This window comes from Homo sapiens, chromosome 7, assembly GCF_000001405.40.
Source record: "Homo sapiens chromosome 7, GRCh38.p14 Primary Assembly".
Classification (NCBI taxonomy): Eukaryota; Metazoa; Chordata; class Mammalia; order Primates; family Hominidae; genus Homo; species Homo sapiens.
Window position 1 is genome coordinate 101438293 of NC_000007.14, and position 22180 is coordinate 101460472.

A 22180-nucleotide genomic window follows, 5' to 3' on the forward strand; every position below is an offset into this window, starting at 1 on the left:
GGAGGCTGCAGTGAGCCGAGATTGTGCCATTGCACTCCAGCCTGGGCAACAGAGCGAGACTCCGTCTCAAAAAAAAATAAACAACAGTAAAAACAAACAACAAAAAAGCATCACTTGGGAGAACCAGAGAGGGAGGGAGGCAGATGGGGTATATGTGGAAAGATGGGGTATATGCAGTCAAGGGTGGGGTGAAGGTTCAGGGCTGGCTCCTCCACTTTCTGTTGGTGTGGACCAAGTCCAGCTCTGCACCTACCTGCCGCACAGTCTCTGGTGGACTCAGTGTTTTCATCCATAAAATGGGACAGTAATACTCTCAGGTGTGAGTGGGCCGAGTACGCAGGCATTCAGTGGCTACAGCCCCCTTAAGTTCCCCTTTCTTTTCTTTTTGTATTTTTTTTAGACAGTCTCAATCTTGCGGTCCAGGCTGGAGTGCAGTGGTGTGATCTCAGCTCACTGTAACTTCCGCCTCTCGGGTTCAAGCAATTCTCCTGCCTCAGCCTCCCAAGTAGCTGGGATCACAGGCGTGCACAACCACGCCTGGCTAATTTTTGTATTTTTAGTAGAGATTTTTAGTAGAGATGGGGTTTCACCATGTTTGTCAGGCTGGTCTCGAACTCCAAGACGATCCACCCGTCTGGGCCTCCCAAATTGCTGGGATTACAGGCGTGAGCCACAGCGCCCAGCCCCCTTTCTTTCCTGAGCTGATTTTGCCATCCTTAAAATGGGCATGTAGAACATTTTCCAGGGACCAGTGAGGGGCTCGCCCACCTTCAGCTCATTCCTGGAGTCTGGTGGTTTTGGCAGACAGACTCTAGGAGGACCACCCCACCTTGGGGTTTGTTTGGACCCACACCAGGCTGAATGTAATACCCAGGAAAAGCCTCAGCTCTGCATCCTGAAGGGGTGCCAACAGACCCAGGAGAGCCAGATCCCTAGTCAGTCGATTGATAGTGATATGTACCTCCTGGGTGCTGGGCAGATGTGGTGGGAGACCTTAGAAAGGCTTCCTGGAGGAGGTGACCTAGAGAGAGACAGAAAGAGAGAGAGACAAGAAAGACCAGCCCCTCAGAGGGCAATAGGGTGAAACCCCGTCTCTACTAAAAATACAAAAATTAGCCAGGAGTGGTGGTGCGCACCTGTAATCCCAGCTACTCGAGAGGCTCAGGCAGGAGAATCACTTGAACCCAGGAGGCGGAGGTTGCAGTGAGCCGAGATTGTGCCACTGCACTCCAGCCTGGGCGACAGGGTGAGACTCCGTCTGAAAAAAAAAAAAAAGAGGTAAGGAAACTGGTGTGCTGGAGATTTGTGAGAAGACCAGTGTGGCTGGAAAACAAAGTCACCTGCGAGGCCAGGGAGGACACCAGATCAAAGCAGGCAGAGCCCGTGGGCCATAGAGTGGACTTGGTGACCACTGGAAGTCATGGATGGATGGGGCTGCTCCACCTTGGGGAGAATCCAGGCATCAGAGGCCAATCTTGTTTTTGCCTCCAAAATCTAAGAGTTGTTAAAGTCTTAGGGGTAGGAGGGACAACACCCCGCTCCAGAGCTGTGTGGCACCTGGCCGGGACCTTGTTATTGGCCCTTAATGTTCCCACCAAGCAGCAAAGTTGACACTACCATGTGGCTGGGGACTCTGCAGGGAGCCTTGAGGAAGATGAGTTCCCTCTTGGAGCCTGGTGTCCTCAACTGAGTGCGGCCTTAAGGCTGACAGAGGTTAAATAAAATATGTACACCCTGTTTTTGAGGGAGGGCAGTCCCTAAACTGGATCTGCATTTTAGAAAGTTTGCCTAGGCCAGGGGCAGTGGCTCACGCCTGTAATCCCAGCACTTTGGGAGGTCAAAGTGGGCAGATCACCTGAGGTCAGGAGTTCAAGACCAACCTGGCCAACATGGTGAAACCCCATTTCTACTGAAAATACAAAAATTAGCCAGGTGTGGTGGTGTGCGCCTGTAATCCCAGCTACTCAGGAGGCTGAGGCAGGAGAATCGCTTGAACCCGGGAGGTGAAGGCTGCAGGGAGCTGAGATCGCGTCACTACACTCCAGCCGGGGCAACAGAGCGAGACTCTGTCTCAAAACAAAAAAACAACAAAAAAAGAAAGTTTGCCCAACTGGACCCTAGCGGCAGGGGCTGGCAATTCTTCATGGGGACAGGAGGCCAGCCTCCCTCGGGTTTTTTTCCAAGACTGGGGAAATGGGCCACAAATGTGGAACCTGTCTTGGGCATTCAGGTGAGACTCAGGGGGGCTACCAAGCTGAGTCTTGGCCGGTTGGGATGGTGACACAGTGCCACCTACTGGTGTGCCCCACGCCTGGACTTGGCAGCCATCAGGTTCCAGAGTGGCATGGGCCAAGCCCATGGAATTCAGAATGAGGGGCCAAGAAAGACTGTGGCCAGGAGCGGTGGCTCATGCCTGTAATCCCAGCACTTTGGGAGGCCAAGACAGGCAGATCACCTGAGGTCAGGAGTTCGAGGCCAGCCTGGCCGACATGGTGAAACCCTGTCTCTACAAAAAATACCAAAATTAGCTAAAATTAGGTTAAAAATACAAAATTACTCCTGTAATTGCAGCTACTTGGGAGGCTGAGGCAGGAGAATTGCTTGAACCCGGGACACAGAAGTTGCAGTGAGCCACGATTGCGCCACTGCACTCCAGCCTGGCGACAGAGAGAGACTCCGTCTCAAAAAAAAAAAAAAAGAAAGAAAGAAAAAGAAAAAAGAAAAGAGCATCTCCAGAGGGATGAGCTCAGTTTCTGAATCAGGGGCCCGAGATCAGTCCCTGTGTGTAGATGAGAGGGAAAACCTTTGCCTGTACTGAACGAACACAAATTAGTATTACTGGGCTCTGGAACCAATTCTGCCTGGGTTCAGATCCCAGTTCCACCACCTTGACAAAGTTGCTTAACCTCTTTGTGCCTCAGTTTCCTTGTCTGTAAACTGGGAATAATGGCCTCTGTTGTTCTCAGTCAGCTTATGTAAACCACTCAGTACACTGTGAGTCTGCAATTGAAGCTACTATTATATTTATATATTTTTTAAGACAGAGTCTCCCTCTGTCACCCAGACTGGAGTGCAGTGGTGCAATCTCAGCTCACTTCTATCTGTGTCTCCCAGGTTTAAGCGATTCTTGTGCCTCAGCCTCCTGAGTAGCTGGGATTACAGGCGCCCACCACCATGCCCGGCTATTTTTTGTGTGTGTGTTTTTAGTAGAGATGGGGTTTCACCATGTTGGCCAGGCTGGTCTCGAACTCCTGGCCTCAAATGATCCACCTGCCTCAGCCTCCCAAAGTGTTGGGATTACAGGCGTGAGCCACCGTGCCCGGCCTATCATACCTACTTTTATTGTTCTCATGACCATCTTCATCATTCCAAGTGTGGATTGAAGTGAGAGTGTCTGGTGCATCTGGAGGGCTCCCGCCTGGTGGGTGAGGGCCAGAGGTGTCTGTGTGAGGTGGAGGAGGGCCAGCACATTTGGCTCAGCAGCCCGGACTCTCTCCTGATGACAGTGGGGACGGCCGAAGGGTGTGGGTTGGGAGGAATGAGGTCAGGTCTGTATTTTGCAAACCCAGCATCCATGCACCCCTCCTGCACTCACAGCCTTACACCAGGCATCCTGGTCTCCCTGGTATCCTCATCATACAGACCAGGAAACAGGCTCAGAGAGGTTTAGGTACCTGTGCAATGTTGTATAGTGAATTAGGGACAGAGCCCAAATGCCAGGCTTGCACTCCTGAGCCCAGGGCTCCATTGATCCCATCGTGCAGAGGTTAAGGGAGGGACCTGATTTTTTGGCATCAGCTGTGCTCAGCAGGGTGCAAACAACAGCAGCTTGGCCCTTGCGCCTGCCCCGGGCCCTGGGTGGACTCTGTAGTTTTTCTGGTCTCTCGTAGTCGGAAGACCATTTCAGGAATTAATTTTAAAACTGCCATTTTTAATCTAAACAAAAGCTCTCCTCTGTCCAAGCTGGGCCTGCTTTCGGCTGGCAGATCTGCGGCAGCAAGAGGGTTGTGAGCCCTTTCTGTTTTTCTAGGTCTTTCTTTTTTTTTTTTTTTGAGACAGAGTCTTGCTCTGTCACCCAGATTGGAGTGCAGTGGCACGATCTCGGCTCACTGCAACCTCCGCCTCCCGGGTTCAAGGAATTCCCCTGCTGCAGCAGACTCTGTCTAAAAACAGAACAAAAGATATGGCATAGAAACATATTTGGGGTTGAAATATTTTGATTTCCTTCCTTATCTGCCATGCGATGTTATGCTAGAGCCTGGTTGGAAAGCCAGCCACATCATATAGGGTTAAAATAGAACCTGTGTGATGAGGCTTTGTGGTTTGAAAGGCGTGACTCCCCAGGCTCCTTAGATAGGAATCTGGGCAAGAGAAGAAAACGGTCAGAGGTTAGTCCTCAGGTATGTGAGCGTGTTTAGTGTGTTAGTGTGAGGCTGAGTGTGTGTTTATCCAAGCGTGTGAATAGGTGCATGTGTGTGTACATAATTGCGTACAAGTGTGTGACTGTGAGTGTGCATGAGTGAGTCTGAGGGTGCTGAGCACGTGTTTGTGTGAGTGCGTGTGTGGAAGTGTGCACGAGTGTGTTTGTGCGAGTGTGCAAGCACGAGTGTGCACACGAGTGTGAGAGAGCAAATGAGTGTGTGACTGTGTGAGGGTGTGCGTATGTGTTAGTTTGTGAGAGCTTGCAAGTAAGTTTGTGCAAGCGTGTGAAGGTGTGAGAGTGTGTGAGGGCACGTGTGTCCTCACATGGGTATGTGAATGTGTGTGCATGTATGTGAGTGTGTGTTTATTGTGAAAATCGTGTATTTGTACTCATCATCGCATACCAGAGTCACTTGCTGTAAGGAGGGGTGACCTTGGAACTAAGGCTCTGCCACCTCTTTCCAACCCCCCATCCTGCACTGGATTGCCCAGTTGCTCCCAAAAGCTGGGGGCTTTGCTCTCCAGCTCACAGCTGTGGGCACCTCTCCTGGTCATCTCCTACCTCCTGTCCCAGCTGCACACAACCACGCTACCCCCAGATCTCCAGGGGGAAACTGGTTTGCTGGAATGTTTATGAAACACGAGTGCAGGTTTTTGCTTTTTTAAAAAAGAAATGAGCGTAACAGGATTTTTCAGATTCAGAGCTGTACTTCTGAAATCCAGTTCTCCACTCGTGTGTTTTCCTGTCAACAGTGCGTCTCCAAACGTCGCGCCTGCTGCTACCAATTAATTCATGATTGTTTCATTCACCGATTAAGTTGCTCGATGTCAGCAGATTTAAATTTTGTGAAGTTATGTAGTTTTGTCTTCAGGGGGACATTGTGCAAACTTGATCAAGCAGCAGTTATGACAATGCACGTAAAGTGAATAATAAAAGCTGAATGTGTCTCCCTTATGAAATTTGGTCATGCATTTTATATTCGCGATTCTTGGAGTGTGACAAAAAAGCATCCAACTTATGTGTAAGAAAAATTTCGAAACTGTGGGAGTGTGAAACTTTACGATGGGATTCACAGCATTTTGCAAGAATTTTTTTTTTTAATTCCTGCAAGAGTCCCACTACTGTATTCCAAGTTTTTTCTTTTCCTTTTTCTTTTCTTTTTTTTTTTTTTTTCAGAGACAGGGTCTTGCTCTGTTGCCCAGGCTAAGTGCAGTGGTTCGATCATGCTCACTGTAGCCTCAAAACTCCTGGGCTCCAGTGACCCTCCCACCTCAGCCTCCCAAGTAGCTGGGACTACAGGTGTGCACAACTATGCCGGGCTAATTTTTTTATTTTTATTTTTTGTAGAGACAGCATCTTGGTATATTGCCCAGGCTGGTCTCGAACTTCTGACTTCAAGCAATCCTCCTGCCTCGGCCTCCCAAAGTGCTAGGACTACAGGTGTAACCCCTACTCCTGGCCGTGTATGCCAAGTTTTCTTCATTGAAGTGTCTCGCTCTTCTCAGGATGATGACACAGTTTTATAAATCTATGACCGCAATATAGCACAAAGTGGGTGTTCAATAAACCCACTTTGGGTTTATTGTTGGTGAATCAACCAAAAGAAATTATAATTGGGAAAAAGGTCAGAGTAGATGATAGTTGAAAATTTTGCAGGTCCTGCTAATTTCTTTCTTCCTTCCTTTCCTTCCTTCCTTTCTTCTTTTTTTTTTTTTTTGAGACAGAGTTTCACTCTTGTTGCCCAGTCTGGAGTGCAGTGGCGTGATCTCCACTCACCGCAACTCCGCCTCCTGGGTTCAAATGATTCTCCTGCGTCAACCTCCCGAGTAGCTGGGATTGCAGGCATGCGCCACCACACCCAGCTAATTTTTGTATTTTTAGTAGAGATGGGGTTTCTCCATGTTGGGCAGGCTGGTCTTGAACTCCCGACCTCAGGTGATCCGCCCACCTCGGCCTCCCAAAGTGCTGGAATTACACGCGTGAGCCACCGTGCCTGGCCCCTTTTCTTTCTTTATCATCTTGGTCAGTGTTCAGTGTTCAGGACACTTTCCCCTCACAGGTGGCCACACTTGGAGAGTTGTACAATGGCAGAGCTAGAGGGGACTTTATTTTTTATTTTATTTTATTTTGTTTGTTTATTTTTTTTGAGATGGAGTCTCACTCTTTCACACAGGCTGGAGTGCAGTGGCATGATCTCGGCTCACTGCAACCTCCACCTCCCAGGTTCAAGCTATTCTGCCTCAGCCTCCTGAGTAGCTGGGACTACAGGTGCCTGCCATCATGCCTGGCTAATTTTTGTATTTTTAGTAGAGACAGGGTTTCACCATGTTGGCCAGGCTGGTCTCGAACTCCTGACCTCAGATGATTCACCCACCTCGGCCTCCCAAAGTGCTGGGATTACAGGCGTGAGCCACCATGCCTGGCCAGGTACTTTATGTTTACTATTATTTTTTGTTTGTTTAAATTTATGGGTTACAAGTGCAACCGATATATTGCACAGTGGTGAAGTCAGGGCTCTTAGGAAATCCATCACCCACATAATGTACTGTATTAGACTGTTCTTGTGTTGCTATAAAGAAATACCGGAGACTGGGTAATTTATAAAGAAAAGTTTAATTTGGCTCACAGTTCTGCAGGTTTACAAGCATGGTGCCGGCATCTCCTTGGCTTCTGGGGAGGTCTCTGGAAACTTTCATTCACGGCTGAAGGCAAATTGGGATTAAGAGAGTGAGGGGGCCGGGCGCGGTGGCTCACGCCTGTAATCCCAGCACTTTGGGAGGCCGAGGCGGGCGGATCACGAGGTCAGGAGATCGAGACCATCCCGGCTAAAACGGTGAAACCCCGTCTCTGCTAAAAATACAAAAAAATTGGCCGGGCGTGGTGGCGGGCGCCTGTAGTCCCAGCTGCTTGGGAGGCTGAGGCAGGAGAATGGCGTGAACCCGGGAGGCGGAGCTTGCAGTGAGCCGAGATCCCGCCACTGCACTCCAGCCTGGGCGACAGAGCGAGACTCCGTCTCAAAAAAAAAAAAAAAAAAAAAAAGAGAGTGAGGGGGCACCAGGCGCGGTGGCCCATGTCTGTAATCGCAGCGCTTTGGGAGGCCGAGGTGGGCGGATCACGAGGTCAGGAGATCAAGAGCATCCTGGCCAACAAGGTGAAACCCTGTCTCTACTAAAAGTACAAAAATTAGCTGAGAGTGGTGGCATGTGCCTGTAATCCCAGCTACTTGGGAGGCTGAGGCAGGAGAATCGCTTGAATCTGGGAGGCGGAGGTTGCAGTGAGCCGAGATCGCGCCACTGAATTCCAGCCTGATGACAGAGCAAGACTCCGTCTCAAAAAAAAAAAAAAAAAAAAAAAAGACAGTGATGGGGGAGGCGCCACACCATTTTAAATAACCAGATGTCACGTGAACTGAGAGCCAGAACCCACTTATCACCAAGGGGATGGTGCTAGACCATTCATGAGAGGTCTGTCCCCTGATCTAATCACCTCCTACCAGGCTTCACCTAATGCTGGGAATTACATTTCAACCTGAGATCTGGAGTTTGGACAAATATCCAAACCCTATCACATACATTGCATTCATTACCTACCCATCCCTTTCCATGTCTCCATTGTGTACACATTGTTTACCTCCCTCTTAGAGAACATATGGTATTTGTCTTTCTGTGCCTGGGTGGTTCATGTAAGATAACAGCCTCCAGTTCCATCCACGTTTAGATCACAGCTGATACAGAGAGGGATGGCGACTTGTGCAGGGTCACACAGCTGTCACTGCCCAAGGGGTTCACCTTGCCTGCTGCTTAGACACAGCTGATTTATCAAGACAGGGGAATTGCAATAGAGAAAGATGGCCGGGTGCCATGGCTTGCTCCTGTAATCGCAGCACTTTGGAAGGCTGAGGTGGGTGGATCACTTGAGGCCAGGAGTTCGAGAGCAGCCTCACAAACATGGTGAAACCCTGTCTCTACCAAAAATACAAAAATTAGCTGGGCCTGGTGGCACACACCTATAATCTCAGCTACTCCGGAGGCTGAGGCAGGAGAATCGCTTGAACCTGGGAGGCAGAGGTTGCAGTGAGCCCAGATCGCGCCACTGCACTACAGCCTGGGCAACAGAGTGAGACTCTGTCTCAACTAAAAAAAAAAAAAAGAGAGAGAGAGAGAAAGAGTAATTTACACAGAGCCGGCTGTATGGGAGACTGGAGGTTTTTATCACTCAAATCAGTCTCCTGAGCATTCAGGATGGAGTTTTTAAAGACAATTTGGTGGGTAGAGGCTCGGAAGTTGGGGAGTGGTGACTGGTCAGGTTGGAGATGGAATCGTAGGGGGTCGAAGTGAGGTTTTCTTGCTGTCTTCTGTTTCTGGATGGGATCATAGCACTGCTCAAGCCAGATTACAGGTCTGGGTGGTATCAGCTGATCCATCGAGGACAGGGTCTGCGAAATATCTCAAGCACTGATCTTAGGTTTTATAATGGCGATGTTATCTCCAGGAGCAATTTGGGGAGGTTCAGACTCTTGCAGCCATAGGCTGCATGACCCCGTAAACCATAATTTCTAATCCTGTAGCTAATTTATTAGTCCTACAAAGGCAGACTGGTACCCAGGTAAGAAGGGGGTCTTTTTGGGAAAGAGATATTATCAATTTTGTTTCAGAGTCAAACCATAAACTAAATTTCTTCCCAAGATTAGTTCGGCCTACTCCCAGGAATGAAGGAGGACAGCCTAAAGTTAGAAGCAAGATGGAGTCAGTTAGGTCTGATCTCTTTCGTTGTCATAACTTCCTCCGTTATGATTTTTGCAAAGGCATTTGCACAGCCAGTGAACACGGACCCCGGCAGTGGTTTCCACGCCATGGGGGCCTCCCGGAGCCCTGGCTGGGCAAAACAGCCTGGCCCATCTTTGCAGCAGTGGGGTCTGGAGGTGGGTGGGTGGGAGCTCATGCCCCCCTGACGCTGTCTGTGTGTTAGTTACAGGACTCTGATCAGACCCACCTACAGAGTGTCCTACCGCACGGTGACGGTGCTGGAGTGGAGATGCTGCCCTGGCTTCACCGGGAGCAACTGTGATGAGGGTAAGTTGGCAGGCACTTGGGCTGCAGGGGGCCAGGCGTGGGCCAGGCTGGAGTTTCTCCCTTCTCTGGCCTCCTCCTGCAAGCAGCTTTCCTTTCCTCCGTAGCTTGAAATCCTTTCCTTTTCCCAATCGCCTCTGAAGCAAATGTTCTGTATCGGCCTGGCCAAACCAGGATGAAGCTGCCCGCCCTGCCCGTGGGCACCGAGGCAGGTCCTAGTTTGCACTGGTTGGGTAGTGGAATACAGAAGCCAAAAACAGCACTGGTGCCAGGGGAAGGGATTTGATTTCTAGCCGGTTTCTTCCACTTTTGGCTCCGATGCACCCAGAACCCCTGGGGCAGGCAGAGTTGGATATCTGGGCTCTGAGCAAATGCGGATGAGGTCCCACCAGCCTTGAGGCCACGTATTTTGTAGACTGAGACAGAGAAGCTGACCGGTAGCTGCAGATAGACGTTCACCCAGCTGCTTTCTGCCTTTCTGCCCTGTTGGTGTTTAGCCCGGGGGCCTGGGCTCAGCCTGGCTCTGGAGCCTGAGAGGGTCACATAACAGCACTTAGGTGGGCCAGCAGTGGCAGACAGAGCAAATCCCCCTTCACTGCTGGCCAGGGAAATTGAGTCCTGCCTAATGAACAAGTTTGCAGCCCACCTTGTTCCCCAGCATGGCTGGATGGGTCTGGAGGCTGAGGCTCAGCGGTCAGATTTTTCTTCTTTTTCTTTTTTTTTTTTGAGACAAGGTCTCACTCTGTTGCCCAGGCTAGAGTGGAGTGACATGATCATGGCTCACTGCAGCCTCGAACTCCTGGGCTCAATTGATCCTCCCACTTCACCCTCCTGTGCAGTTGGGACTGTAGGTGTGCACCACCATACCTAGCTATTTTTTTGTATGATTTTTAGAGACGGGTCTTGCATTGTTGCTCAGGCTGTCTCGAACTCCTTGGATCAAGCGATCCTCCCACCTTAGCCTCCCAAAGTGCTGGGATTACAGGTGTGAACCACCTCTCCCGGCTGGAGGGGTCAGTTTTGTATTTGGAAACAGTAGCTGTCTCCCACCTTCGCTTTCTGACAAAATTCTTCTCTTCTCTGTCATCTTGTTACTTACTGATTTGATAGCAGGATCTATATGCTTTGAGTGTAAACTGTCTAAAGAGCTCTTTGGGTTACAAAGAATAACGCAATTGACAGAAATAGAGACTCTGACAATTGCTTCAGGGGGCCTCTGGCCCACAGCAGAGCTGAAGGAAAAAGGCTGGGATGCCAGGGAGTCCGACAGGTGCCTCTGGTCCTGGTTGATGAGGTGCCTGATGCTGGCAGGGGAGGCTGGGCTATCCTTGTTGGAGGTTCCAGGGCTGACTTGGACCCTTCTTTGGAGAGGAGCAGGAAGGACCTCCAAGGTGAAGGGGTGAGGGGATGCCAGGTTTCTGAGCAGTGGGCTGGCCCTGGCATAATGCTATGGTGTTGAACGACCACAGCTCACAGGTCCCTCATGGAGGCCTGAGCCCTTCAATGCCAGGACTTGGACCTGCCATTCTGGTCAGCGCCACGGCTGTGGACACAGCCATCTGGTCCCCCCAACGGGATGGAGCAGGCCTGCCATCTAGATCCTGCCAGGGGCCGAGGAGGCGAGAGTTGCTAGGGAAGTGATTAGTTTACCCTTAAGTAAGTACCTGAGCCTGTTTCAGTGATCAATAAAATCAGCAATGTTAGCCGGGAATGGTGGCTTATGACTGTAATCCCAGCATTTCAGGAGGCTGAAGCCGGAGGATCGCTTGAGCCCAGGAGTTTGAGACCAGCCTGGGCAACATGGTGAAACCCTGTCTCTACTAAAATATACAAAAATTAGCCAGGTGAGGTGGCATGTGCCTGTAGTCCCAGGTACTCAGGAGGCTGAGGTAGGAGGATCACTGATGTATGTGTGTATACACACACACATGTATTTGTAGATTGGGGGTCCCCAAGACCACCCTTAGGTTTGACACCTTGCTAGAAGAACTCAGAGAATGTATTAAAAACTATTATGCTCATGGTCATGGTTTATTACAGCAAAAAGATACAGATTAGGATGGGCGTGGTGGCTCATGCCTGTAATCCCAGCACTTTGGGAGGCTGAGGAGGGAGGATCACTTGAGGTCAGGAGTTCGAGACCAGCCTGACCAACATGATCAAACCCCAACTCTACTAAAAACCCAAAAATTAGCCGGGCATAGTGGTGGGCGCCTGTAATCCCAGCTACTTGGGAGGCTGAGGCAGAAGAATCGCTTGAACCCAGGAGGCACAGATTGCAATGAGCCTAGATTGTGCCTCTGTACTCCAGCCTGGATGACAGAGTGAGACTCAGTCTCAAAAAAAAAAAAAAAAGATACAGATTAAAATGAGCTAGGGAAGAGACACATGGGGCAGGCCGGGCACAGGAGAGTTTCATGTATGGAACCTCTAGTTGTCGCCTCCCAGTGGAGTTGTGGACAGCTGTACTTTCCCAGCAATGACATGTGTCAGTATATACAAAATATTGCCACCCGGGGAAGCTCATCTGAGCCAGAGATTTTACTGTGGCTTAGGTACATGGACCATGGCCAGCCTGCATGGCTGACTCAGATTCTAGCCCCTCTGGAAGATGAGCTGGTACCAGGTGGTGCAAGGATGTCCTCATCAACGACATTGTTAGCACAAACTATCCAATGTGGCCTGCGTTAGCATAGACTGTGTGGCATGGTCGAAGGTCCCCAGGTAGGCAGATACTGTGACCAACCTGGACATTCCAAGGGCTTCCAAATACCTCCCACGAGCCAAGTGCAAAGGCCAGACCTCCTTTAGGGTAAGATTAATTCTTTGTGTGTGTATATATATAATATGTGTATTACATATTATTATTGAAATATATAATATATAGTAATTGTGATATATTAATAATATATATTCTATATTCAATAATATAGAATTATTGAATTATTTATATTCCATATTCTATATGAATATGAATTCCATAGTCTATATGAATATGAATTCCATAGTCTATATGAATATGAATTCCATAGTCTATATGAATATGAATTCCATAGTCTATATGAATATGGAATGTAGAATGATATACAATTCTATATGGATATTGAATGCGTTATTAATAATTTATATATTCCAGTAATATATATTATCAATAATTATAGATATTAATTATTGATAATAAATATTATCAAATAAATATTCATATATTGAATAATATATAATATTGAATAATTGTTGATATATATTATTGAATAATTATTAATAATAATTAATATATATTCCAGTAACATATAATATATATTATTGAAATATATGATACGTATTATATATTGTTGAAATATATAATATATAATTGAAATATATAATATAGTCATTGAGATATATATGTAATATATATCTCAATAATTAATATAATCTCAATAATATATATAAAATATGTTACTGTAGACAATTTATACATTGTATATAATATATACAATATGAAAGATATATTTATATATGATGTAAATTATGTATTATAATGTGAATTATGTATTATAATTTATATTATATTTCTATTTAAACAATGTATGTATTATATAAATTATATATAATGTTATATTTAAATTATAATTTATATTATATATAAATTATATACAATTTAAGTATCCCTAGTCCAAAATCCAAAATGTTCTAAAATCTGAAACTTTCTGAGCCCTGACATGATGCTCAAAGGAAATGCCAAGTAGAACATTTTGGATTTCTGATTTTCTGATTTGGGATGCTGAACTGGTAACATAATTATATATTATACGTAAAGTATATAATTTATATATGTATATAAAAACGAACCTGAAATTAAGACCACTAAGGTTGAGCCTATGGGGTAGTAAAGACAAAAGCTTTGTGGTTATTGTCTCTACTGAAAAGAAATCATTTGCATCTTTTTTTTTTTTTTTTTGACGGAGTCTCGCTCTGTTGCCCAGGCTGGAGTGCAGTGGCACAGTCTCCACTCACTGCAACATCAGCCTCCTGGGTTCAAGCGATTGTCCCACCTCAGCCTTCTGAGTAGCAGGGATTACGGGCATCCACCACCACACCCAGCTATGTTTTTTGTATTTTTAGTAGAGATGGGGTTTCACCATTTTGGCCAGGCTGGTCTCGAACTCCCGGCCTCAGGTGATCTGCACCCATCGGCGTCCCAAAGTGCTGGAATTGCAGGCGTGAGCCACCGCGCACAGCCAAAATCATTTGCTTTTTACCAGTTTTGTATGAGTTAACATCCAACTTGGCAGAATCTGAGCTGCAATGCATAGTGAGCGGTAACTCAAAGTGACATTCTCCTGGGGTGTCATACGGCACGTGGGCAGGCTCATGAGATAGTGCTGTAGCCTGACTCTAGAAGGTTAGTCCCTCAGCTTTTTGCCCTATTTCCACATTTTGCAGAGCTCTTCTTGCAGACTGAGTGGATGAAACACAGTAGCCCATGGCAGCAGGTGGCAGGACCGTGGGAGGACAGTCCCTGCTGACTGGGAGGTCCTCACCACCAAGTAGGTTCATGTGGGGCTGTGGACCCACCTTTCTCAATAGAGGAGGCAGAAGTGAAGGGGGGTGACTGTGAGCTGGTGAATTGTTCCAAAGGTGTCCACCCTCAAGGGCTTGGCACTTCCCTTCAAGAAGAAATTTCTTATCCGATAAACCACATTGATATGATCAATATACAGTCATGCGTGGCTTAATGATGTGGCTATGTTCTGAGAAATGCATCATTGGAAGATTTGTCTTTATGGGAACACCAAAGGATGTACTTACAGAAACCTAGATGATCTAGCCTATTACACACCTAGGCTAGATGGTCTAGCCTATTGCTCTGGGCTACAAACCTGTATAGCATGTGACTATGCTGAATTCTGGAGGCATTAGGAATATAATGGTAAGTATTTGTGTATATCAACATATCTACACATAGAAAAGGTACAGTACAAATATATTATTATTATTATTTATTAATTTTTTTTTTTGAGATGGAGTCTGTCTGTCAGCCAGGCTGAAGTGCAGTGGTGTGATCTCTGCTCACTGCAACCTCCGCCTCCTGGGTTCAACGGATTCTCCTGTCTTAGCCTCCCAAGTACCTGGGGTTACAGGCATCTGCCACCATGCCTGGCTAATTATTGTATTTTTAGTAGAGACGGAGTCTCACCATGTTGGCCAAGCTGACCTCAAGTGATCTGCCCGCCCCCGCCTCCCAAAGTGTTGGGATTACAGGCGTGAGCCACTGTGCCCGGTCTAAAATACAGAATTATAATTTTAATGGGGGTGGGGGAGCAGACGTGGTGGCTCACGTTTGTAATCCCAGCACTTTGGGAGCCCAAGGCAGTGGATCACTTGAGGTCAGGAGTTCGAGACCAGCTTGGCCAACATGGCAAAACCCCGTCTCTACTAAAAATAGAAAAACTAGCCGGGCGTGGTGGCACGTGCCCGTAGCCCCAGCTACTCAGGAGGCTGAGGCAGGAGAATCACTTGAACCTGGGAGGAAGAGGTTGCAGTGAGCTAAGATAGTGCCACTGCACTCCAGCCTGGTTGACAGAGCGAGACCCTGTCTCAAAAAGGAAAAGAAATTTTATGAGACCACTCGTATATGCAGTCTGTCGTTGACTGAAATGTCGTTATGTGGCATGTGACTGTACTCACCAGAAACATCTGGAGTTCTTGGACTGATTATGATGAGTTCCAGCACCTCTCAAGATGCTCTCAGCCTCAGACCTCTGCCAGCCCCTCCCTGGTGGAGAAGCCTTCTGGGCTTCAAGCACCTTGCTCAGGATGCGTGTCCCCTTCTGAAAGTTTTAGGGTTAAGTGACTCTTCTAGCTGTGTGCCTGAGGGTCCTGGACATCTCAGGAGTGGGGAGTTGGCAGCTGAAGAATTCCTGGGAGTCTGAGCCTGGGCTGAGTTTGGGATCGGCTCCTGAAAACCCTTGTAAAGATTTTACATTCCCGAATATAAACCAATAAAGACAGCAGGCTAAATCAAGGCCATGCCCATGTCTTGGGCACATTCCGAAGATGGTTGTGGTGAGTCCCGCACCATTAATTCCCTTTTGCGTCTCATTCCTGCCTCTCTGGAAACAAGCAGGTCCATGAGATGCAGTTCAGTGGGTTTTGCTGTGGTTCAGTGGGGTTTCCCTCCCTAGACACCCCAGGAGTGCAGGTCTAAGGTTTGGAAATACTTTCCTTTCTACATATGTCTATACATGATCCATCTTAATGAATTGCACATTTCGTGTTTGTGAATTCACCTCCTTGATAAAATTGATGGGTAACCCCTAAATCAATAACTTGCAGCGGTCATTCATGGATATGGGGCACAGTAGCAAAAACTTTGAGTCACCAGACATGCATGTTTCCTACTGAGGTCAAACCAGGTGACACCCTGGCTCCCTGTTTCCCTCTCAAACTGCAAAGAAGTGTCCTGTTCTTTTCTTTTTTTCCTTTCCTTTTCTTTTCTTTCTTTTTTTTTTTTTTGTTATGGAGTCTCGCTCTACTGCTCAGACTGGAGTGCAATGGCATGATCTCGGCTCACTGCAACCTCCCAGGTTCAAGTGATTCTCCTGCCTCAGCCTTCCAAGTAGCTGGGATTACAGGTGCCCGCCACCACACCCAGCTAATTTTTGTATTTTTAGTAGAGACAGGGTTTCACTATGTTGGTCAGGTTGGTCTCGAACTCCTGACCTCAGATGATCCACCCACCTCGGCCTCCCAAAGTGCTGGGATTACAGGGGTGAGCCACCGCACCCGGCCAAGTGTCCTTTTCAAGGTCTGTTTAGTACCATAGTTTTTGCATCTTTCTGCCTTTTTGGGGGTGGTTTGTTGTTTAGAATGTCCCCCAGGCATAGCGCTGAAGTGCTCTCTGGTATCCCTAAGCGCAAAGAAGCTGTGATGTTCCTTGCGGAGAAAATATGTGTGTTAGATAAGCCTCGTTCAGGCATGAGTTACAGTGCTGTTGGCTGTGAGTTCAATGTTAATGAATCTACAGTAAATATGTTAAAAGGTGCCTTTAAACAGAAACACAGGTAAGACAAGGTTATGTATTAATGGGTTGATGATCCTGAAATCAGAGGCTCAAAGGACCTAACCCTGTATTTCCCGTATAAGCAATGGTTCAGTATTCACTAAGGTAGTGTAAATGGTGATTTCATAGAGCATAAATTCTGTGAGCCAGCATCAATTGTATATATGGATCTATGTCTAACTAAATATCTAAAACAAAATTTTTTCTTTATCTTTTTTTTTTTTTTTTTTTGAGATAGAGTTCTGCTCTGTCACCCAGGCTGGAGTGCAGTGGTGCCATCTCCACTCACTGCAACCTCCGCCTCCCAGGCCCAAGTGATCCTCCCACCTCAGCCTCCCAAGTAGCTGGGACTACGGGCATGAACCACCACACCTGGCTAATTTTTGTGTATCTTTGTAGAGACGGGGTTTCACCATGTTGCCCAGGCTGGTCTCCAACTCCTGGGCTCAAGCAATCCACCTGCCTAGACCTCCCAAAGTGCTGGGATTACAGGCATGAGCCACCATGGGCAGCCTAGTTTTTTCTTATTACAAAAGTAACTACATGTTTAGTGCAGAAAACATAGAAACACGTAGTATTACACCTCTCACTTGGGTGAGAAGCCTCCAGATCTTTTTCTGTGCTTGCATGTTAATTGCACTGTACATGCTGTTTGGTAAGTTTCTTTTCTTTTCTTTTTTTTTTTTTTTTTGAGACTGAGTTTCACCTTGTAGCCCAGGCTGGAGTGCAATGGTGCAATCTCAGCTCACTGCAACCTCCGCCTCCCAGGCTCAAGCGATTCTCTTGCCTCAGCCTCCCAGGTAGCTGGGATTACAGGTGTGCACCACCACCCCCAGCTAATTTATTATTTTTATTATTTTTAATTTTTTTTGAGATGGAGCCTAGCTCTGTCACCCAAGCTGTAGTGCAGTGGCGTGATCTCAGCTCACTGCAACCTCCGCCTCCTGGGTTCAAACCATTCTCCTGCCTCAGCCTCCCAAGTAGCTGGGACTGCAGGTGCACGCCACCAGGCCTGGCTAATATGTTTTGTATTTTTAGTAGAGACGAGGTTTTACCATGTTGGCCAGGCTGGTCTCGAACTCCTGACCTCAGGTGATCCGCCTGCCTCGGCCTCCCAAAATTCTGGGATTACAGGCGCGAGCCACTGCACCTGGCCTGGTAAGTTTCCTTCTCACATAAATTATCATGAACATCTGTCTTTGGCAATAGATAGCCTTCTATAATATCATTGTGAGTGGTTGTAGAACTTGAGTATACACACACTTTATTAAATAATGTAAGATATTTAAATTGTTTCTAATTTTTAAATAACATTACTGTAAGTATATATATATATATATTTTTTTTTTAATGGAGATAAAATTTACACATACTTAAATGCACAGATTTTCTCTTTTTTTGAGATAGGGTTTCATTCTGTTGCCCAGGCTGGGGTGCAGTGGTGTGATCATGGCTCACTGCAACCTTGACCTCCCAGGCTCAAGCAATCCTCCTACCTCAGCCTCCCAAGGAGCTGGGACTACAGGTGTGCAACATGCTGAGCTAATTAAAAAAAAAAATTCTGTCTGGGCGCGGTGTCTCACGCCTGTAATCCCAGCACTTTGGGAGGTGGATCACCTGAGGTCGGGAGTTCGAGACCAGCCTGACCAACATGGAGAAACCTCGTCTCTACTAAAAATACAAAATTAGCCGGTCGTGGTGGCACATGCCTCTAATCCCAGCTACTCGGGAGGCTGAGGCAGGGGAATCGCTTGAACTTGGGAGGCAGAGGTTATGGTGAGCCGAGATCACGCCATTGCACTCCACCTCGGCAACAAGAGCAAAACTCCATCTCAAAAAATTATATATATATTTTGTAAAGACTTGTTTACAAAACAAGTCTTATTATGTTGACCAGGCTGGTCTCAAACTCCTGGTTTCAATCTATCCTCCTGCCTCGGCCTCCCGAAGTGCTGGGATTTTAGGTGTAAGCCACTGTGCCAGGCCCACAGATGTTAAATGTACAATTTGATGAGTTTTGATAAATGCATACTCATTTCCATCAGCTCCCAGAAAGTCTCTACCCCAGTGTAATTGCTCAGTGGGTTCTTCCTGCCTGCCGCCCAGACAAAACCAGTTCGCTGAGACCGTGGTATTACAGTAAAGAAGTATTTTAATTAACATGATGCCGGCCACGTGGGAGAACTGGAGTTATCACTCAAATCAGTTTCCTTGAAGGCTTGAAGGTTAGGGTTTTTCAAGGATAGTTTAATGGGCAGGGGACTAGGGAATGGGTGCTGCTTACTGTTTGGGGATGCCATCATAGGGGTGTGGAAAACGGTCCTTGGGCACTGAGTCCAACACTGGGTGCAAGGCTACAGGACTGGTTGAGTGATGAGTCATGAGTCCGGGTGGGGTCAGTCAGTTGCCAGCATGCAAAAGTCTGAAAAATATCTCAAAAGACCAATCTTAGGTTCTACCATAGTTATCTATAGGAGCAACTGGGGAAGTCATCAATGTTATGACCTCTGGCCGCATGTCTCCTGTGTCATAAAGGATTATAGAAACCATGTCTACATTTTAGCAGAATTCAGGCACCTATAATTCTAATCTCATGTCCTTTCATTGTCTTTCAAAGGCAGTTTCCTCCCCTAAACAAGGAAGGAATCCGTTTTAGGGAGAGAGTGTTATCATCCTTGCTTCAAAGTTAAACTATAAGCTAAATTCCTTCCATGTTCAGCTTGGCCTCTACCCAGGAGTGAGCAAAGACCCCCAGCGTGTGAGGTTAGAAGCAAGATGGAGTCAGCTATTTCAGATTTCACTCACTGTCATAATCTTTGCAAAGGCAGTTTCACTAGAAAGCACTGTTCTGACTTCTATCATCATAGATCAATTTTGACTATTCTTGAACTTTATATAAATGGAACCATACAGCATATAATCTTTTGTGTATGGTTTGTTTCACTTGCATTTTTGAGATTCTTCCATGTTTTACATATACATGTGTAGTTTACTTGTATTTGTTGCTGGATATTATTCCATTGCATGAATAACCATCATTTTGCTAGGTTGTGGTATAGCTTAACTTTTTTTTTTTTTTTTTTTTGAAATGGAGTCTCACCCTGTTGCCCAAGCAGGAGAGCAATGGCACGATCTCGGCTCATTGCAACCTCCGCCTCCTGGGTTCAAGCGATTCTCCTGCCTCAGCCTCCCAAGTAGCTGGGACTACAGGCACCCACCAGCACACCTGGCAAATTTTGTATTTTTAGTAGAGATGGGCTTTCACCATGTTGGCCAGGCTGGTCTTAAACTCCTGAGCTCAAGCAATCTGCCTGGCTCGGCCTTCTGAAGTGCTGGGATTACAGGGTTAGCCATGGCACTTGGCCTCATTAGATTTATACTTTAAGGATAATTCCTTAAGTCACATTTCACCAGTAGATGTCCTACCAGTTAGTTCAATCTGGCTAGCAGCATAGTGGACTTCATCACCTTTACCAATATCATGTCAATGTGTCTGTATTCCTCACCTGTGAAATGGTACTTTAGGCCGGGCACAGTGGCTCACGCCTGTAATTCCAGCACTTTGAGAGGTTGAGGCAGGAGGATCACCTGAGGTCAGGAGTTTGAGACCAGCCTGGCCAACATGGTGAAACCTCGTCTCTACTAAAAATCCAAAAAAACTAGCCGGGCGTGGTGGTGCATGCCTGTAATCCCAGCTACTTGGGAGGCTGAGGCAGGAGAATCACTGGAAGGTGGAGGTTAGAGTGATCTAAGTGAGCCAAGTGAGCCAAGATCACACCACGGCACTCCAGCCTGGGCAATGTGAGTGAAAACTCTGTCTCCAAAAAAAAAAGAAATGGTACTCTATAGTTTAGAAAGTGTTTTCAGTTTGTTGTGTTTCCATTTTGTAGATGCAGAAACAGGCGCAGAGGAAATAAGAGATTTGTCCAAGTCATCTAGCTAAGGAGTGGCCAGTGTAGAACTGAAACCTGGGTCTTTTTTTTTTTTTTGGAGACATGGTCTGACTTTGTTGCTCGGCCTGGAGTGCAGTGGCATGATCATAGCTCACTGCAGCCTTGAACTCCTGGGCTCGAGCAATCCTCCCACCTCAGCCTCTTGAGTAGCTGGGACTACAGATGCGTGCCACCATGCCTGGCTAATTTTTTAATTTATTTCATTTTTGTTTTGTAAAGTGAGGTTTCACTATGTTGCCTAGATTGGTCTTGAACTCTTGGCCTCAAGCGATCCTCCCACCTTGGCCTTCCGAAGTGCTGGGATTACAGGCATGAATCACTGTGCCTGGCTGAACAGGGATCTTTTTGTTCCTAATTAGGTGCCCTTTACTCTAAGCTACCTGGGACCTTTGCAGTCTTGGGAAATCCCACCCGAAGTTGTCCCAGTACAAGGGACAGGGCCGCTAGTCTCTGGGCTGGCTCCTTCCTGCAATTCCTAAGGTGGCCTTGTCCCTAGAGTTCTTTTGTTTGTTTGTTTGTTTGTTGTTTGTTTTTTGAGACGGAGTCTCGCTCTGTCACCAGGCTGGAGTGCAGTGGCACGATCTCGTGCTCACTACAACCTCTGCCTCCTGGGCTGAAGCGATTCTCCTGCCTCAGCCTCCTGAGTAGCTGGAATTACAGGTGCCCACCACCACACCCGGCTAATTTTTTTTTTTTTTTGTATTTTTAGTAGAGATGGGATTTCATCGTGTTAGCCAGGATGGTCTCGATCTCCTGACCTCATGATCCTCCCACCTTGGCCTCCCAAAGCATTGGGATTACAGGCATAAGCCACCACACCTGGCCTACACCTGGCCTACGACCGTGGAGTTTTAAGGCCCCATCTCACATTGGCTTGGTGTTGTAGAAGAGATTTACCACAAAGTTGATCATCTCCTCAACCATCAGGAGATGATAACTTTATTCTGAGTAGGGGATTTTTACTCTTTTTTTCTGTATTCCAGCTGGAAATGAATCCAACCAGGACAGGAAATGAATCCCCTAGACTCCTATATGGGCAAGGGCAGGCCTGGGACAGAGGGGCTTAGCTAGTCCATCCAAGCGTGGAGCTGATTGATTTGAGTCCAAGGCGATGCTAACCATTCTGCCCCGACTCTAGCTCTGTGTACGGGCATGTCTGTGTTTTGAATGGCTGAGGGTTCAAAGCCAGAAGGAGTTAGTTCTCCTGAGAAGAGGCTGCAGCCTCCTGGTCTATCTGCAGAGCTCATCGCTTTAGGAAAGTGACTCCCCATGAATCTGATGATGTTTCTGAGACTTGCCTTCCATAGCTGTCATTCAAACTAGGACCATTTATCAAAATGAGCCGAGTGCATAGCACGTTCCGGGCGCCGGATGCTTGGATCACATTGATGAATAAGGGACTTCAGGGGCTCCCAGGTGTGCTGTGTGTGTGTGGTGGAGAGTGTGCAGGGGCCAGAGGAATGAACAAATCATCCAATACTGTGAGATAAGGACTTCGCTAAAGGTACGATTGAGGTGTTGTGAGATTCACAGGAGGTAGAGATCTGGGTGATCCTCCTCTGGTTCAAGGCCTGGCTCCCTGGGTCTAAGTTTCTCAGAATCCCACTTCACCATGCATCCTCTCTCTTCTGTAGATTGCATCTTTCTTCCCCACTGGCTCTTTCCCATCAGCACCTAAGGATACTCCAGC

At 47.1% G+C, this 22180-nt stretch overlaps 1 protein-coding gene across 6 annotated transcripts in view, besides 1 other annotated feature; it reads left to right on the top strand.

The window, feature by feature from the left end:
- The window catches only part of COL26A1 (collagen type XXVI alpha 1 chain), a 196637-nt gene that overhangs the window by 75905 nt on the left and 98552 nt on the right, over positions 1-22180 (top strand). For 4 of the 6 annotated variants that reach the window (XM_017011744.2, NM_001278563.3, XM_017011743.2 and 1 more), the window contains exon 3: positions 9392-9495. Coding sequence is in view for 4 of the 6 variants with exons in the window: in NM_001278563.3 (NP_001265492.1) it covers positions 9392-9495 (104 nt within the window). In the remaining 2 variants the exon portion in view is untranslated. The remainder of the gene's footprint in view (positions 1-9391; positions 9496-22180) is intronic. The other 2 variants (NM_133457.5, XM_047419882.1) reach the window with 1 other exon arrangement.
- Positions 214-1173: an enhancer, noted in NCBI's record as "H3K27ac hESC enhancer chr7:101081787-101082746 (GRCh37/hg19 assembly coordinates)". NCBI's record gives its function as "activates a minimal SCP1, AML or CMV promoter by ChIP-STARR-seq in naive H9 embryonic stem cells {active_cell/tissue: H9 hESC(naive)}" and the evidence as "EXISTENCE:reporter gene assay evidence [ECO:0000049][PMID:30033119]".